At 44.1% G+C, this 15,033-nt stretch overlaps 1 protein-coding gene across 3 annotated transcripts in view, besides 1 other annotated feature; it reads right to left on the reverse strand.

Annotated features, from left to right (window-relative positions):
* Positions 1-15,033, reverse strand: part of STX8 (syntaxin 8) — a 325,350-nt gene that overhangs the window by 34,018 nt on the left and 276,299 nt on the right. The gene's annotated exons all lie outside the window — the stretch shown is intronic.
* Positions 5,767-5,876: an enhancer, noted in NCBI's record as "active region_11723". NCBI's record gives its function as "activates an Ori minimal core promoter by ATAC-STARR-seq in GM12878 lymphoblastoid cells {active_cell/tissue: GM12878}" and the evidence as "EXISTENCE:reporter gene assay evidence [ECO:0000049][PMID:35858748]".

Raw genomic sequence — 15,033 nt, forward strand, 5'->3', positions numbered from 1 at the left:
CGGAGATAAACAATACATGTTTTTTTGGACCTCAGAAGCTCACAGTTTACATATGGATAAAGTAGGAAAGTTCAGAAGATATGAGCAATGACAGTTGTTTAAAAAATTTTTTTTCTTTAAAAGTGTATAAAGCTACTCTTGTTTTTGAAAAGTCAAGGCAAATGAAACATACTTTTTGAAATAATCAGGGAAAAAAATAAGTTTAAAGTTTCCTCTAGATCTTTTAATCAGCAGAATAATAAGGACTGACTTTATATCTAGACTTCGACTTAGCAGAATTAGAAAACTTCAAAAGTCCTAGAAATATCACAGGTAAATGGGTAAAATTAACCTCAAAAAGTTTCTGACTTGACTTTCTAGGGGCCGAAACACGCAAGATCCTTCTCAGTTCTCTCCCTTAGTCTTATGTTTTAATTAACAGAGGCAAAGTTTTTCAAAGTCATGGGTGGGGCTTGCTTTATTTCCTCTGATGGTTTCCAGCAGGGAACCTTGGCCTTAGGATCTTAAGTTTTCTGGAATACTAGGTTCCATTCTCCCAGCTTCCCAGGCCCCACCCCCCTGGAGATTCTGATTCAGCGGTTCCGGGAGAGGGCCCAGGAATTTGTATTTTTAGTAAGAGCATCGTGTGATTCTTATCATCAGGGAAATCTGGACACTATGGATAATAACAATTTGCCCACGAATCACAGGTTGTGGGTAGGGCTTAGAGAGAAAAACAGATTCCCAGGCCCCAAGGCTCAGGGAATCAGCTTCAGGAAGCCTGGGCTCAGACTCAGGAATCTGCATTTCTAACAAACACCTCAGGCAACATCTGGTGGACGGAAACACTGTCTTTGGTGCTGAGCCACCAAACTCTATTCTGCAGGTGTTGGATATAAAACAACCAGAATCAGCAGAAACCAGTGTAGAGGTCCAAAGTAGTGATAAAAAAAAAAAAAAAAAAGGAGAAACATCTGGGACATCTCCGTCTACCTGAGGCCCTGGACTGCTGGGTGTCTTCAATACCACATTTCCTGGTCTGACCTAGATGGGCCTTTTCTCTAAGGCCGGCCTCCAGAAGCCAGGGTGAAGCCCAGAACATTACACACAATGAGATGCCCATCTGTTCCTGCATGGGGCAGATCGAGGGTGCCTATTTATCCAAGCCTGGTAGTCCCAAACAGTGATCACCCTGGTTAAATAAATACAAAAAGGCAAAACATCTTTTGGAATTGTTACATGCTGGTTATATCATGCCTGAAAATTGCAAATGAAACTAGTACATGTACCAATGCCTGGTCATAAATGAACACATTGTTTACTACAAATTCTGCTGAAATAAACCTGTCTTCACATACAGTTGCTAAGGCACTTGTGCTTAGAAAAACAAATACTTTAAAGACAAACAATACCTTCACATTTTCCCTTCAAAAGTGACTAATTTACTCAATACTTCTGAAAAATTGTAACGAACTTCTTCTGGAATCCCCATATTACCGCATCCCACACTTGCCAATAACTATATGGAGCGCTTTGGAAACGCCGAGGGAAATAGCAGACTTGGTAAGGCTTAAAAAAAAAAATAAGGCAAGATCATAGATGGGATGAAAAACTCAACTTGAATGCTTCCCCGTGAAGTCAGTCTACGTTTGATCCAAATGGTTGAACTCCAAAAGCACCTCAGCAGTTCAGCTCTCTTGATTTCAAACCCCTGCCCACATGGCTCAAATTTGCAACTTAAATATTCGGTATGAAAACGAAAGTTATTTAACTGTTAGCACAGGCTCTCTTCTCCAAAAGAGAGTAGGAAGGGCATACGTTTCGGCCCACACACATACGCCGATCTTTGACTTCTAAATATCAGGGCACAACACACACAATTATTTTGGCTTTGGGAGACAACACTGTCTGTTATGTTGGGGTGGGTAGTTACAAAAAAATATTGTCTTGAACACTGCCAGAGCTGACGATTTTATGCATGTGTAGTACAAACGGTTCTTTTTCATTTTGGAAAGAAAAAGCACTTAAAAAAGGTTTGGTAGGGAGGCTCTGCAGCGATATTTCACCTCAATACATCTTTCAAGTTTGATAGCTTGTAAGCTCACGGCTTTGGTTCTTGTCTTCAACCTTCAGACAACTCTAAGCTGGCTACAGCAGCTGCAGAGGCTGAGTCTTTAAATGAAATAAAGAAATAATTGCTTCAGGGAACAAAGGGAAGCAAAAAAAAAAAAAAAAAAGTCCTGTTAGCTGAACTATGTGGCCCCTTGGGACGGTGTGTGGTGTGTATTCCTGATGAATATTGTTCGGTGTGGTAAAGGAATCCCTGCAAAACCCCAGAGACTCAGAAAAAGGGTGGCGTGGTAGTAGAAACAGTGGGCTTCAGAGGTGTACCTGGGTTCGAGCTGAGGCTATGCCACTGACCAGCTACGTGACCTTGAGCACTGGCCCTCACCTCTCAGGGTCTTTGCCTCTTGTCTGTGATATGGGAATGACATTACCTGTCTCACGGGGCTGTAAATGAGGCCTGGAAGGATGATGTATGTCATGTGTTGATTTCACGTGGGCAAACTGAATGCCCTTGGTTATCTCTCCCCGCTCCCCAAACTCTACTAGTGGGGAATGGTATAAATATATAAACCAAAAGAACAGGAGAGAAAATGACATCCCATCAGATACAGCAACAAAATGTCAGGAGATGGAAAGCAGATGGATAAGTCATCAGTGTCTTACAGTAGATGACGATGAAACCTAAACAGCAGATTTGGGGTGGGGCAGGCTCCATCAGGTTCTCCTGCAGGTGAGGCTAAAAACAGGGGGACTAGTTAAAGACTATATGAGGGCCAGATGCACCCCAGGTCCCTGCCACCACCGCACACAATCAGGCAAACTACCTCTCCCCTATCTTCTCAGGAGAGATGTTCACAGGTGAAACTGGACTGGGGAGCTTGAAACATGGGGGCAACAGGCACAGAAGAAGAAAGGGATATGACGAGATGCTGGAAATAGGGAGATGAAATCCTGGTTTTCATAGGGCATGAGAAGCTGGCTGTCCCCTCTTCCTGTTTGGCTCCCAGACAATTAACAGCCAAGTTTCCACTCATTAGGGGGGACTACAGGGCTCCTCTCAGCAGTGATGGACTAAACAAAGACAAAAGAAATGCAGATAGTCCTGTTTGGGATCCCCAATCAATGACTAGGTCCTCCCCTGCCTGATAATGCTTCTGTGAAATCTGCAATTCAACAGATCCCACCCATGCCTATAGAACTTTCATATGTCTTTTTACATTCTTTTTTTTTTGTTTTGAGATGGAGGCTCACTCGGTCGCCAGACTGGAGTGAAGTGGCACATCTCGGCTCACTGCAACCTCTGCCTTCTGGGTTCAAGTGACTGTCCTGCCTCAGCCTCCCAAGTAGCTGGGATTACAGGTGAGCACCACCACGCCCAGCTAATTTGGTATTTTTGGTAGAGACAGGGTTTCACCATGTTGGCCAGGATGGTTTCAATCTCTTGACCTTGTGATCCACCCGCCTCGGCTTCCCAAAGTGCTGGGATTACAGGTGTGAGCCACCATGCCTGGCCTACATTCTTTAACATTAATGGGTAGCCAAGCATCACTAGACATTTGACAAGGGGGGGGGGGGGGAGAAAAGCAAAACAAACAAACAAACAAACAAAAAAAAAAAAAACCAAAAACAAAAAACCAACCTTCCCCCTGAAAAAAAAAAAAACAGAAAAAGGAATCCAATGACAAGATACAACGCAAAGAACAGAAGAAAATGTGAAAGAAACAATAATTACAATTATCATAGAGATAAAATATGTAATATCTATGAAATTAGAACAGAATAAATTAAAAAATCAGAAAGCCTTGGAGTGAAAAAGGAAGACAGCAGCTATAAAGAATTTCAATGGGCCGGGCGCGGTGGCTCACGCCTGTAATCCCAGCACTTTGGGAGGCCGAGACGGGTGGATCACGAGATCAAGAGATCGAGACCATCCTGGCTAACGCGGTGAAACCCCGTCTCTACTAAAATGACAAAAAAATTAGCCGGGCGTGGTGGCAGGCGCCTGTAGTCCCAGCTACTCGGGAGGCTGAGGCAGGAGAATGCCGTGAACCCGGGAGGTGGAGCTTGCAGTGAGCCGAGATCGCGCCACTGCACTCCAGCCTGGGTGACAGAGTGAGACTCCGTCTCGAAATAAATAAATAAAATAAATAAATAAATAAATAAATAAATAAAAGAATTTCAATGGAAGAATTTTAAGACTCACTTGAAGAAATGAACAAAACAACCAAAAAATGAAAGACAGAAGAGAAAATAAGGAAATTCAAGGATTAAACTATGAAACCCAATATCCAATTAAGGGGTGCAGCAGAAGGAAAGAAAAGAGAAAACACAGGAGGTAATCATGAAAGCTATAAGAAAATGTTTTGAGAACTGAAGGACATGAATTTTCAAACTGAAGCGTTCACAAAATACCCAACACAATAACGGGGGTAAGCGGGGAAGTTATGCTAAGGCCTTCTGTGTGAAATTTAGGATGCTGGGACTAAAGAGATGCTCCTAAGAGCAAAATAGGATGTACAACAAGGTTCTGGAATCAGACAGGCACTGGACTTCTCTATGGCAATACCGGAAGCTAGTAGTCAAGGCAAGATGCCTCCAAAATTTGGAGTGCAAATTGTTTCCGGCCTAAAATTTTATATGCAGTCAATCAATCAACAACAAGGGAGATAATAAAGATAGTTTTGGACAAGTACTATCTCAAGAAAATTTATTTCCCAAGTACTCTTTCTTAGAAAGCTAGGGGAGGCTTAAGGGGGTAAATCAAGCAAGAAAATGAGTTCCAGGAATGAAGGGCTCCAAAAGAAGAAAGAGTTGATGGAAAGTCTCAAGAAGATATTAAGAAGGCCTAGCAGAGGAGTGCTGTCCTAGACAGCTACCAGTTTGGACTGGTTTAGAAGGACGAGGACTCCAGGAGAGCTGACCCCAAGGAAAATATAAAAAAGACAGATTATTTGATGTGCATCTGACGATACCCACAAATTTTTTTTTTTTTTAGTTTGGTAGTAATTTAGGGCAAGAATTATAATAGACAAAGGGGAAAATCCATCCTGGCTAACATGGTGAAACCCCATCTCTACTAAAAAAAAAAACAAAAAATCAGCTGGGTGTGGTGGCGGGCGCCTGTAGTCCCAGCTACTCGGGAGGCTGAGGCAGGAGAATGGCATGAACCCGGGAGGTGGAGCTTGCAGTGAGTCGGGATCGCGCCACTGCAGTCCAGCCTGGGTGACAGAGCAAGACTCCGTCTCAAAAAAACAAAAACAAAACAAAACACACAAAGGGAAAAATGACAATAAGTTCCAAAAAAACACAAAATATTGCATGAGAAAGGAGATCTAATTACAATAAACTACGTAGCTCTGTTAATGATATTGATATGGTCAAAATGAAAACAATGAGTGATAACTAACAATTGTAGTTTAACTCTGTTGGTAGCACAGAGAAAGAAGTGTGAGTGCCTGAGCATGTGTGTGGGCGGACAATGAAAGAACTAATCATTTCCCACAGGAGGAAGTTAAGAGACAGCTTCTAGAATTGCAAGCAAATCGAGTCATGTCAGTACAAGTACATTATTTAGAAATAAGAAAGCAAAACCAAGAAGAGAGTGTGAAAGAGTTGAAAGTACCTTCCTTTGGAGAGTGGGGTGTAGGGGAAGGAAGGTGAAACAGGTGACTCTTGCTTTCTGTTTTCTCTTTTGAAATACACCCTGCACTATTTGTCTTTTTAAATTATGCCATTATTTTGACTCATCACCAGGTGAAAGTCTATGTCAAATGCATGCCACTGTGTGTGGATTGAGGGCAGGTGTAGGGCAGGATGGGGGTGAGTGCCACCTGCATCTGAACGCCATGGAACACGCAGGTATTGGGTGTTAGAGACAGAAGAGAACACACATTCATTACACTCTCCTCTTGGCTGCTCAGCAAGCACGTGTGCGCGTATACGCACAAACACACACACAGGTATATACAATTTCAAGCAAATTTGATACATTTATCAAAATATAATTATCCCAAGCACAACCAAAACTGCATTCACTTCCTTCCCAACGGGAGAAAAATCTCAAATCACATCTTGCTACAGTATAGCGAGGGAAGGAGGGGCCTCTGTGGTACAAGTCCCAGATCTCTGGTTAATGGTCATCTTCTCAACCCAGTTCATAAATAGTTCTCCATATTATGACCAAGTAATTTAGTTATTTCCAATATATCCGATATATACCTGTAGACAAATGCCCTGAGGATGCTACCAAAAGCTCCTGTTTGGAAAAGGGGAAAGGCACACATTGCCACCCAGTCCAGGACGTACATGCTTCTTATTAGGGTGCAGTAACCCTGTCCCCTGGGAGGCTCATTCTTGTCTAATGTCCTCTGCTGAAAAAGACAACCCTTTGGGGGTTTCCGCACTACCTAAGGTCAGCTTCAAAAAGGGAATGTTGCATAGCCATGGTGAACATGGAACAAGTTCTAGGAAGAAATGAGGATCCAGAAGTAGAATCAACCCGAACAAATATTACTGTCAACCAAATAGAGTTTGTGTGTGTTGTATAAAATCACTGTAGAATTATATGCTTCAATTACTGAGATTAAATATTCAGTATCAGGAAAAAGCTTGCCTTTCTTAAAAAGTATGTTTTGGCTGGGCGCAGTGGCTCACACCTCCCAGCACTTTGGGAGGCCGAAGCCGAAAAGTCACCCGAGCCGAGGAGTTCACGACTAACCTGGGCAACATGGTGAAACCTCGTGTCCACTAAAAACACAAAACATTAGCTGGGTGTGGTGGTGGGTACCTGTAGTCCCAGCTACTCAGGAGGGAGGGAGGATCACCTAAGCCTGGGAATTTGAAGCTGCAGTGAGCCATGATCACGCCACTGCACTCCAGCATGGGCGATGGGAGTGAGACTCGGTCTCAAAAAAAAAAAAAAAAAAAGTATGTTTCTTTCCTTTCCTATTAAATACTTCCATTGTGGTACACATCATATTTCCCTTTCTGTGTTGGTTTTCCAAGATTCTATCCTCAGTGCTAAATTTAATGCTCAAATATGGTATTAGTTTAGGAATTGGACATATTTTATTTACGTTCTCTTCTACATGTAAACATTTTCTATTCTTTAACAGCTTTGAGATTTTATATATACATACATCTTTTATTGTAAACTACCCATGTCCTCTTTGGAATACATAGGTCACAAATTATAAATAAAATCTATCTTGGGATAGGATTTGAGCTATCTTTGCTAAACTGCCCTACAAGATTCCTAGAGATTGAGGTTGGGGAAGAAACTGGGCTTTGAACAGTCCAAAGGCTCCGCTAGCCAGTCTTTATTGCTTGCTGTTTTATCTTAAGTCTGGTTCTGCAGGCTAAACTCTGTGAACGTATTCATTTATTTATGCTTTTGTGTATATTTTGGTGTTGTTTCCAAGGAAAAGTTCTCTTTCAAATCCTCCCGCCTTGCCTTAGTTGAACTAAGGAGAAGTGGGATTTTCTCCTGTGTTGATGTGTTCCTGAGTGTTGGATGGGGTGCTGCCAGCTAACCAGACCAGGACTAGAGCTAAGGAAGAAGCTGCTGGAGCTGGGGCAGAGGCACTGGGAATCCAGGAGGTACAGGACTGGCCCAGAGGTGGATGGACGGAGTCCCTGCCCACAGGGCAATTCCTTTACACAAAGAAGAACCTCAGACAAATAAATGGGTACTAAACATATGAACGATATAAGGGTAGAGCAAAGGCATCCTGGAAGTCAGTGTCACGGTCTCCACCGTGGGGCCTGTCCGTGGGGCTTCAGCATTCACTGGCGTGGGAGACCTGCAGCTTAGGTGTGTCACCACCGTGTGGTGGAAGGGAGAGTGACAGGCATACAGAGCCCAGTGGGTTCCCAGTTCAGAGATTTATGGTGCTTTTCTAAGCCACAGCTTGAACAAAAATAGAATCTGTTTATTAAACTTGTCTCTTTCATAACACAACACAGACTTCAGAAAGATAACTTTACAGCAGACAAAATAAAGAGGAGGCACTCATATTTCTCCAGCTACCTGCTAATGGCTAATCTCGAGCATGCTTTATTCTGAGGCCTACAGGAAGGAGTTTCCTCCTCTCACCTCCAACTAAAAAGAATCCCCTTTCTTTACTTTGGCATTGAACCCCTTCAGCAGCACAGCTCACAGTCCTGGCCCTGGCTTACTAGGGCTTGCAGAATCATCTTGCTTCACCAAGCTGGTTTGGAAGCAGCAGAATTTCCTCTTGAGCCAACAAGTCTTCCCCTCGCTGAATGCTCTCTGGCTGTTTCTAAGAATGTGCTCTGCAGTTCCCATGCCCCAAGTCCTCAGATGCCACTAGCTATTCAGCTCTCATGCCCCCCATCTTCTCTCCAAACACAAGGCCTTACACCCAACCAGCAAGCAACTCTAGGAAGATTATTTTCAAGACAGATTAAAGTAACCTGACAGAAAATAGAACAAAACATGAATATCCGGTATCATCATGGATACTGGTTGGTTAAGCAAATTTAAATTCATTTCACCAATATTATTGAATTGGGTACAATCACTAAATAACCACTGGGACACAGCAGCCAGGGACCTCCATGTCTCCTAGGTAGATAAAGAAAAATAATAATGAATAGTGAGAGCATTTACAAAGTGCCAAGCATTGTTCTGAAGAATACACATGCTATAATTCATTTCACCCTCACAAATCTCCCAATGTTGGGTAGATCCCATGAATACTTCTAGTTTCTAGGCAGTATTCTAGGAGTATCTAAGGGATGCTCGAGGTCTCACAGCTGGTAACCAATGGAGCTGGATTCCAATCCAGAAAGTCAGATTGTAGACCCCTCAAAACAGTGTCTGCAGCCACTGCCTTACACGGCTTCCTGGGGAAGTCATCCCCTACCTGTAATCAGCTTATGAGGACCTCACAGAAGATGTGGAATTTTAGAGACTTTTTTTTTTTTTAATGAGAACATTATAACTTGGGCATGAGGTAGCTATGAAGAATTCTCAAAGACCTGATTAAGGTCCTTGGATAAGTGATGACAGTGAGATAGGAGGTGTAAGAAGGTCCGGCGGTCTACCCAGAAAATGTTACCATAAAAATAGAATACTGTCATTAATTTTGAAGTGAATACGACACTTTGTACTTTGCAAAGAACCGTGACATATATGTTATCCATTTTAAGCTTTGCAGTAACCCCAGATGTCATGTTTAACTTTTTATGTGGTCACCATTTATAGTACTTTTTTTTTTTTTTGAGATGGAGTCTCTGTCTGTCGCCCAGGCTGGAGTGCAGCGGCACGATCTTGGCTCACTGCAAGCTCCGCCTCCCGGGTTCACGCCATTCTGCTGTCTCAGCCTCCCAAGTACCTGGGACTACAGGCACCCGCCACCACGCCTGGCTAATTTTTTTTTTGTATTTTTAGTAGAGACGGGGTTTCACCGTGTTAGCCAGGATGGTCTCGATTTCCTGACCTAGTGATCTGCCCGTCTCGGCCTCCCAAAGTGCTGGGATTACAGGCGTGAGCCACTGCCCCTGGCCCAAGTCTTATTTTCTCCATCTTATAGATGAAGCAAATGATGAAGATTCCACGGCTAGCCTAGAGGTGGCCTAGGGTTTGGGTCTTCTGATGTCTATTGCAGTGCTGTTGGTCACATCTTGCTAATTTGGCCCCAGGGTCAGCAAAGAACTCTTAGTGAGAGAGATGGCGTAACACAAGATAGGAAGGAAAGGAAAGATATGAAGTCTGGCTGGAAGGCCTAATGGTGATAAAGTGAAAGAGGAAGAGAACTCGTATTTTCTGAGCCCTTACTATGTGCAAAACCCTATGGTGGGCCTCAATGGCTCAGGAAAGCTGGAAATACAACAGAATCACTGAAAGAGAAGATTCCTGCATGGAAGGCAACTGTTGCTTCTCCATCAGGATCAGCTCTGAGTGAGGGTGGAACATCTGAAGCCAGGCGTTTCATAAACAGGAGCTTTGGCAGTCTTACACTCTTTAGAGCAGACAACAAGGAGCAGACAGGAATCAGGAATCGCTCCTTAGAGACTTCCAGGGATGGGAAGAATGCATGGGAAAGGATTCTTAAGAAGGTGTGTGCAGAGGAGGGTACTTCATTGATGAAACATAAGGAAGAACTAGGGGCCAGGGAAACTCTAGTGTTGGTAAGCATTATGGACTGAATCGTATCACCCCAACATTCATATGTTGAAGCCCAAATCCTCAATGTAACTGTATTTGGAGACAGGAACTTTGAAAATGTAATGAAAATGAAAATGAGGTCATAAGAGTGGGGTACTAGTCCAATAGGACTGATGTCATTATAAGAAGAGGAAGAGACACCAGAGGGCTCTTTCCTTCTCTGAACTTGCATACTCTGAGCATGCACAGAGGAAAGGCCACGTGAGCACAGAGCAAGAAGGCAGCCATCTGCAACCCAAGGACAGAAGCCTCAGCAGAAACCGACCCTGCTGGCACCCTGATCTTGGATTTCTAATCTCCAGAATTCTGAGAGAATAAACTTCTGTTGGCTAAGCAACCCCGCCTGGTATTTTGTTATGGCAGCTTGAGCAGACTAATGGAGTGAGCCTTGTTGGCCCTGCCACCTCCCTGGCTCTTGGCCAACACTAATTTATATTTGAAAACTCAGAGTCACCTCTTCTATGAGGTCTTTCTCATTCATCCTAGCCATTTCTTCCTTGATGCCTCCTCTCTATGTGAAGGGATCTTATCTTAGAACCCATAACACTTTATTGACTTAGTCTTTTTTAAAACAAGCCTAACTGTTCCTATTAGACTCCGAGCCCCTTGAAAGAAGAGACCACCTTAGTCAACTTTATAGTCCTGGTCCCTAGCATGTAGCAGACATTCAATAATTGTTTATAGACAAATTAAAGAAATGAACAAATCTAGGATATTATCTTGAAAATGTAGGCTGGGACCAGGCACGGTGGCTCACACCAGTAATCCCAGCACTTTCGGGAGCTGAGGCGGGCAAATCACGAGGTCAGGAGTTCGAGACCAGCCTGGCCAACAGGTGAAATCCCGTCTCTACTAAAAATACAAAAAATTAGCTGGGCGTGGTGGCAGGTGCCTGTAATTCCAGTTACTCGGGAGGCTGAGGCAGGAGAATCACTTGAAACCAGGAGGCAGAGGTTGCAGTGAGCCAAGATCGCGCCACCGCACTCCAGCGTGACGACAGAATGAGATTCCGTCCCCCCTCCCCCCCAAAAAAAGGAGGCTGGGTGCAGTGGCTCATGCCTGTAATCCCAGCACTTTGGGAGGCCAAGACAGGTGGATCACCTGAGGTCAGGAGTTCGAGACCAGCCTGGCCAACATGGTGAAACCCCATCTCTACCAAAAATACAAAAAATTAGCCAGGTGTGGCCAGGCGCAGTGGCTCATGCCTGTAATCCCAGCACTTTGGGAGGCCAAGGCGGGCGGATCACGAGGTCAGGAGATTGAGACCATCCTGGCTAACACGGTGAAACCCTGCCTCTGCTAAAAATACAAAAAATTAGCCGGGGGCGGTGGCGGGTGCCTGTAGTCCCAGCTACTCAGGAGGCTGAGGCAGGAGAATGGCGCGAACCCGGGAGGCGGAGATTGCAGTGAGCCGAGATCGTGCTACTGTACTCCAGCCTGGGAGACAGAGTGAGACTCCGTCTCAAAAAAATTAGCCAGGCATGGTGGTGCATGCCTGTAATCCCAGCTACTCGGGAGGCTGAGGCAGGAGAATGGCGCGAACCTGGGAGGCAGAGCTTGCAGTGAGCTGAGATCGCACCACTGCACTCCAGCCTGGGCGACAGAGACTCTGTCTCAAAAAAATTAGCCAGGCGTGGTGGTGCGTGCCTGTAATCCCAGCTACTTGGGAGGCTGTGGCAGGAGAATAGCTTGAACCTGGGAGGTGGAGGTTGCAGTGAACCAAGATCACACCACTGCATTCCAGCCTAGGCAACGAGAGTGAAACTCCATCTCTCAAAAAAAAAAAAAAATGTATATTAGTGTAAATGTAAATGTTATGACATGATTAATTAATGAATTCATTCATTCAACAATAAACTTGTAAATGGCTGGAAGGAAAAAAAGAAGTAAATTGTTGAAAGACTAAAAAAAAAAAAAAACAAACCAAGGGCATTTCTAGATAGCGAAGACATGACAAAATGAAGGATTAGCTGGATTAGCTGTGTAAGTGAATATAAAGCAGTTATTTGTAGTAACCGCTTGCCATGCAGTATGATTTTAATTATACTTAAATGTAAAGGATAGCTGTACAGAGTAGGGGCTGTGTGAGCTCCAAGGTGAGACAAAGGTGGTGGCTGAATCCTGCCTCTGCTAATACTAGTTGGGTGATTTTAGACAAGTTACTAAACTTCTCTGGGCCTCATCTCATTATTTTTTTCAACATAAATCTTACTCAAGTATAATACATATACAGAAAATTACATAAGCTGTCAAGAGACAAGCTCAATGAATTTACTAGTTGCCTTATCTTGTAAATGGGAAGAATAACAGCATCTGTTCATACAGGACAGGTATGAGGACTTCATGACATGATGCTTTGGAAGCATTTGGCATGGTGTCCAATGCACAGTGAACCTCCAAAAACGTCAGCTCTCATTTATGTTTACCTCATTAAACTGCAATCTTAACTTGATGTAGAGATGTTCAAACCTTGTATCATTTTGCATACAGTCTGATAGCATATGCCCAGAGTTTGCAAAAAAAAAAAAAAAAGAAAAAAAAAGAAAAAGTGAATCCTGCTCCTAATGTGGTTTAGTGAGTATAGAAACTCATCTTTAGAACTGAGTATGAGAATCTCATCACTGTCACCCTTCCTGCCACTCCCACTTAATGGAATGATTCTTCATCTACTTAAAATGCCAAGGAAGCTTAGAGTCAGGGCCAGAGGTGGCAACAAAATGGATGTGGAGATGCTTCCTTGGTTGGTACATGAAAGAGAGAAAGACATCTTTTATTTCAGCATTCGTGACTTCTCATACAAGCTGAATAGAGGTCATCATTCCAGGGCTAGGCAACAGCAAGTACTCAATAAATGTTTGTTAGCCGGATGCAGTAGCTCACGCCTATGGTTCCCATTACCTGGGAGGCTGAAGCAGGAGGACTGCTTGAGCCCAAGAGTTCAAAACCACCCTGGGCAACACGGCAAGACCCTATCTCTAAAGAAATAAAAATAACAGTAAAATTAGCCAGGCATGGTGGCACACACCTGTAGTCCCAGCTGCCTGGGAGGTTGAGGCAGGAGAATCACTTGAGCCCAGGAGGTCAAGACTAGCCTAGGTGATATAGTGAGTGTCTGTCTCTCAATAAATGAATGTTTGTTAGCTGGGGATGCAGCAGGAGCATCTTCTGAAAGAAGGGCAAGTTGGGACCCCACTGTATCTTAAGCGGTGTTCCTATAAACAAAGTTATTCCATGTACCTAGCAAGGGTGGACCAAGTGGTTACCTAAATAGAGATGACCTGATGGGTAAAAAGAAGTCCTTTCTTTTCCCAAGTGTCTTCCCCAAACAGCTTCAGGATACCCAAAATTCCACTGCTGGTAGATTCCTGTTTGTCACAGTCAGCCTCCTCCTCCGTTCCCATTTAAAATGGAAATGTCACTGGCTGGGAAAGCACACTCTGTTTCTGACGTGGGAGCATGGATGAACTGATGGGAGTCCTTTCCTCTTGAGCAGAAGAAGATGGACAGTAAAAGTGTCAGTGACTGAAGGAAGCATGGATGTGAGCACATGTGGAGCGTGAGTTGGCGGAGGTGGAACTTTCTGACCTCTGTACTTTGGCCAGCCCAGCCCTGGCACCCACAGGCACAGGAGAGTTCCTGGCAATGGAAAGGCTGATGAGGAAATCAGCTCAGGTTTTCCTAAGTGCTCTTCCAACATCTTCCTTCCACTGCCACGTGCACTCCTGCTTTGTCTTTCCCTCTTCCAAGTAACTCTCTGTGAGCAAATGTACTTCTGTTATTCCACTTTAAAAACCAAAAAAACCGGGCCAGCCATGGTGGCTCACGCCTGTAATCCCAGTACTTTGGGAGGCCAAGGTGGGTAGATCACCTGAGGTCAGGAGACTGAGACCATCCTGGCCAACATGGTGAAACCCCGTCTCTACTAAAAATACAAAAATTAGCCGGGTGTGGTGGCGGACATCTGTAATCCCAGCTACTCAGGAGACTGAGGCAGAAGAATTGCTTGAAACCAGAAGGCGGAGGTTGCAGTGAGCCGAGATCACGCCACTGCACTCCAGTCTAGGCAACAAGAGCGAAACTCTGTCTCAAAAACAAACAAAACAAAACAAAACAAAACCAAACCAAACCTGAGTAGCATCTGTCCTTGCAAGCATTCCTTTGCAACTCCTCAGAAGATCCAGGCTCTTCTAAGTAGCAGCAGCAGATGTGGCTTAAAACAAGATGCTTGAGGGGAATTTACAGTCTGTGACCAATTAGCCAGATGCACTCACCTTCCCACCTGGTTTTTCTCTTGTCGGTGTTTTGCGAGCCCTCTCTCACTTTCCTTGATTCTCTGTTGGTAGAAGGTCATTTCCCTTTGGCCTAGGAGTTTGCAGTCTGAGGCCATCTTGGGTTCACATCTGCTTCTGGACTTCAGATGGCACTGGTGACCAACACAAGCCTTCTCCAACACACACTCACGCAGGCACAGTGACCTTTTCTCCCGGATGCATAGCTCATCATAGTTTTCCACATTTTTTTTGTGAATTCCAACTTCAGATGGTGCAAATGTGGTCACATGGTTAATTCCCAATCTATGCTATACAGAATGCTGAGCCTTACTGTGTCTGCATGTCATTTCCCAAGCAAACCGAGGAACTGTATTTCAGCCACAAAACCTCGATGATTTGGAAGGAAAAGAGGGGATTGCCTGCGTCCGTCTTCATTCTTACGCTTTTTTTTTTTTTTTTTTTTTGAGACAAGAGTCTCACTCTGTCGCCCAGGCTAGAGTGCAGTGGCGCGATCTGGGCTCACTG

Source organism: Homo sapiens, chromosome 17, assembly GCF_000001405.40.
Source record: "Homo sapiens chromosome 17, GRCh38.p14 Primary Assembly".
NCBI classification, from domain to species: domain Eukaryota; kingdom Metazoa; phylum Chordata; class Mammalia; order Primates; family Hominidae; genus Homo; species Homo sapiens.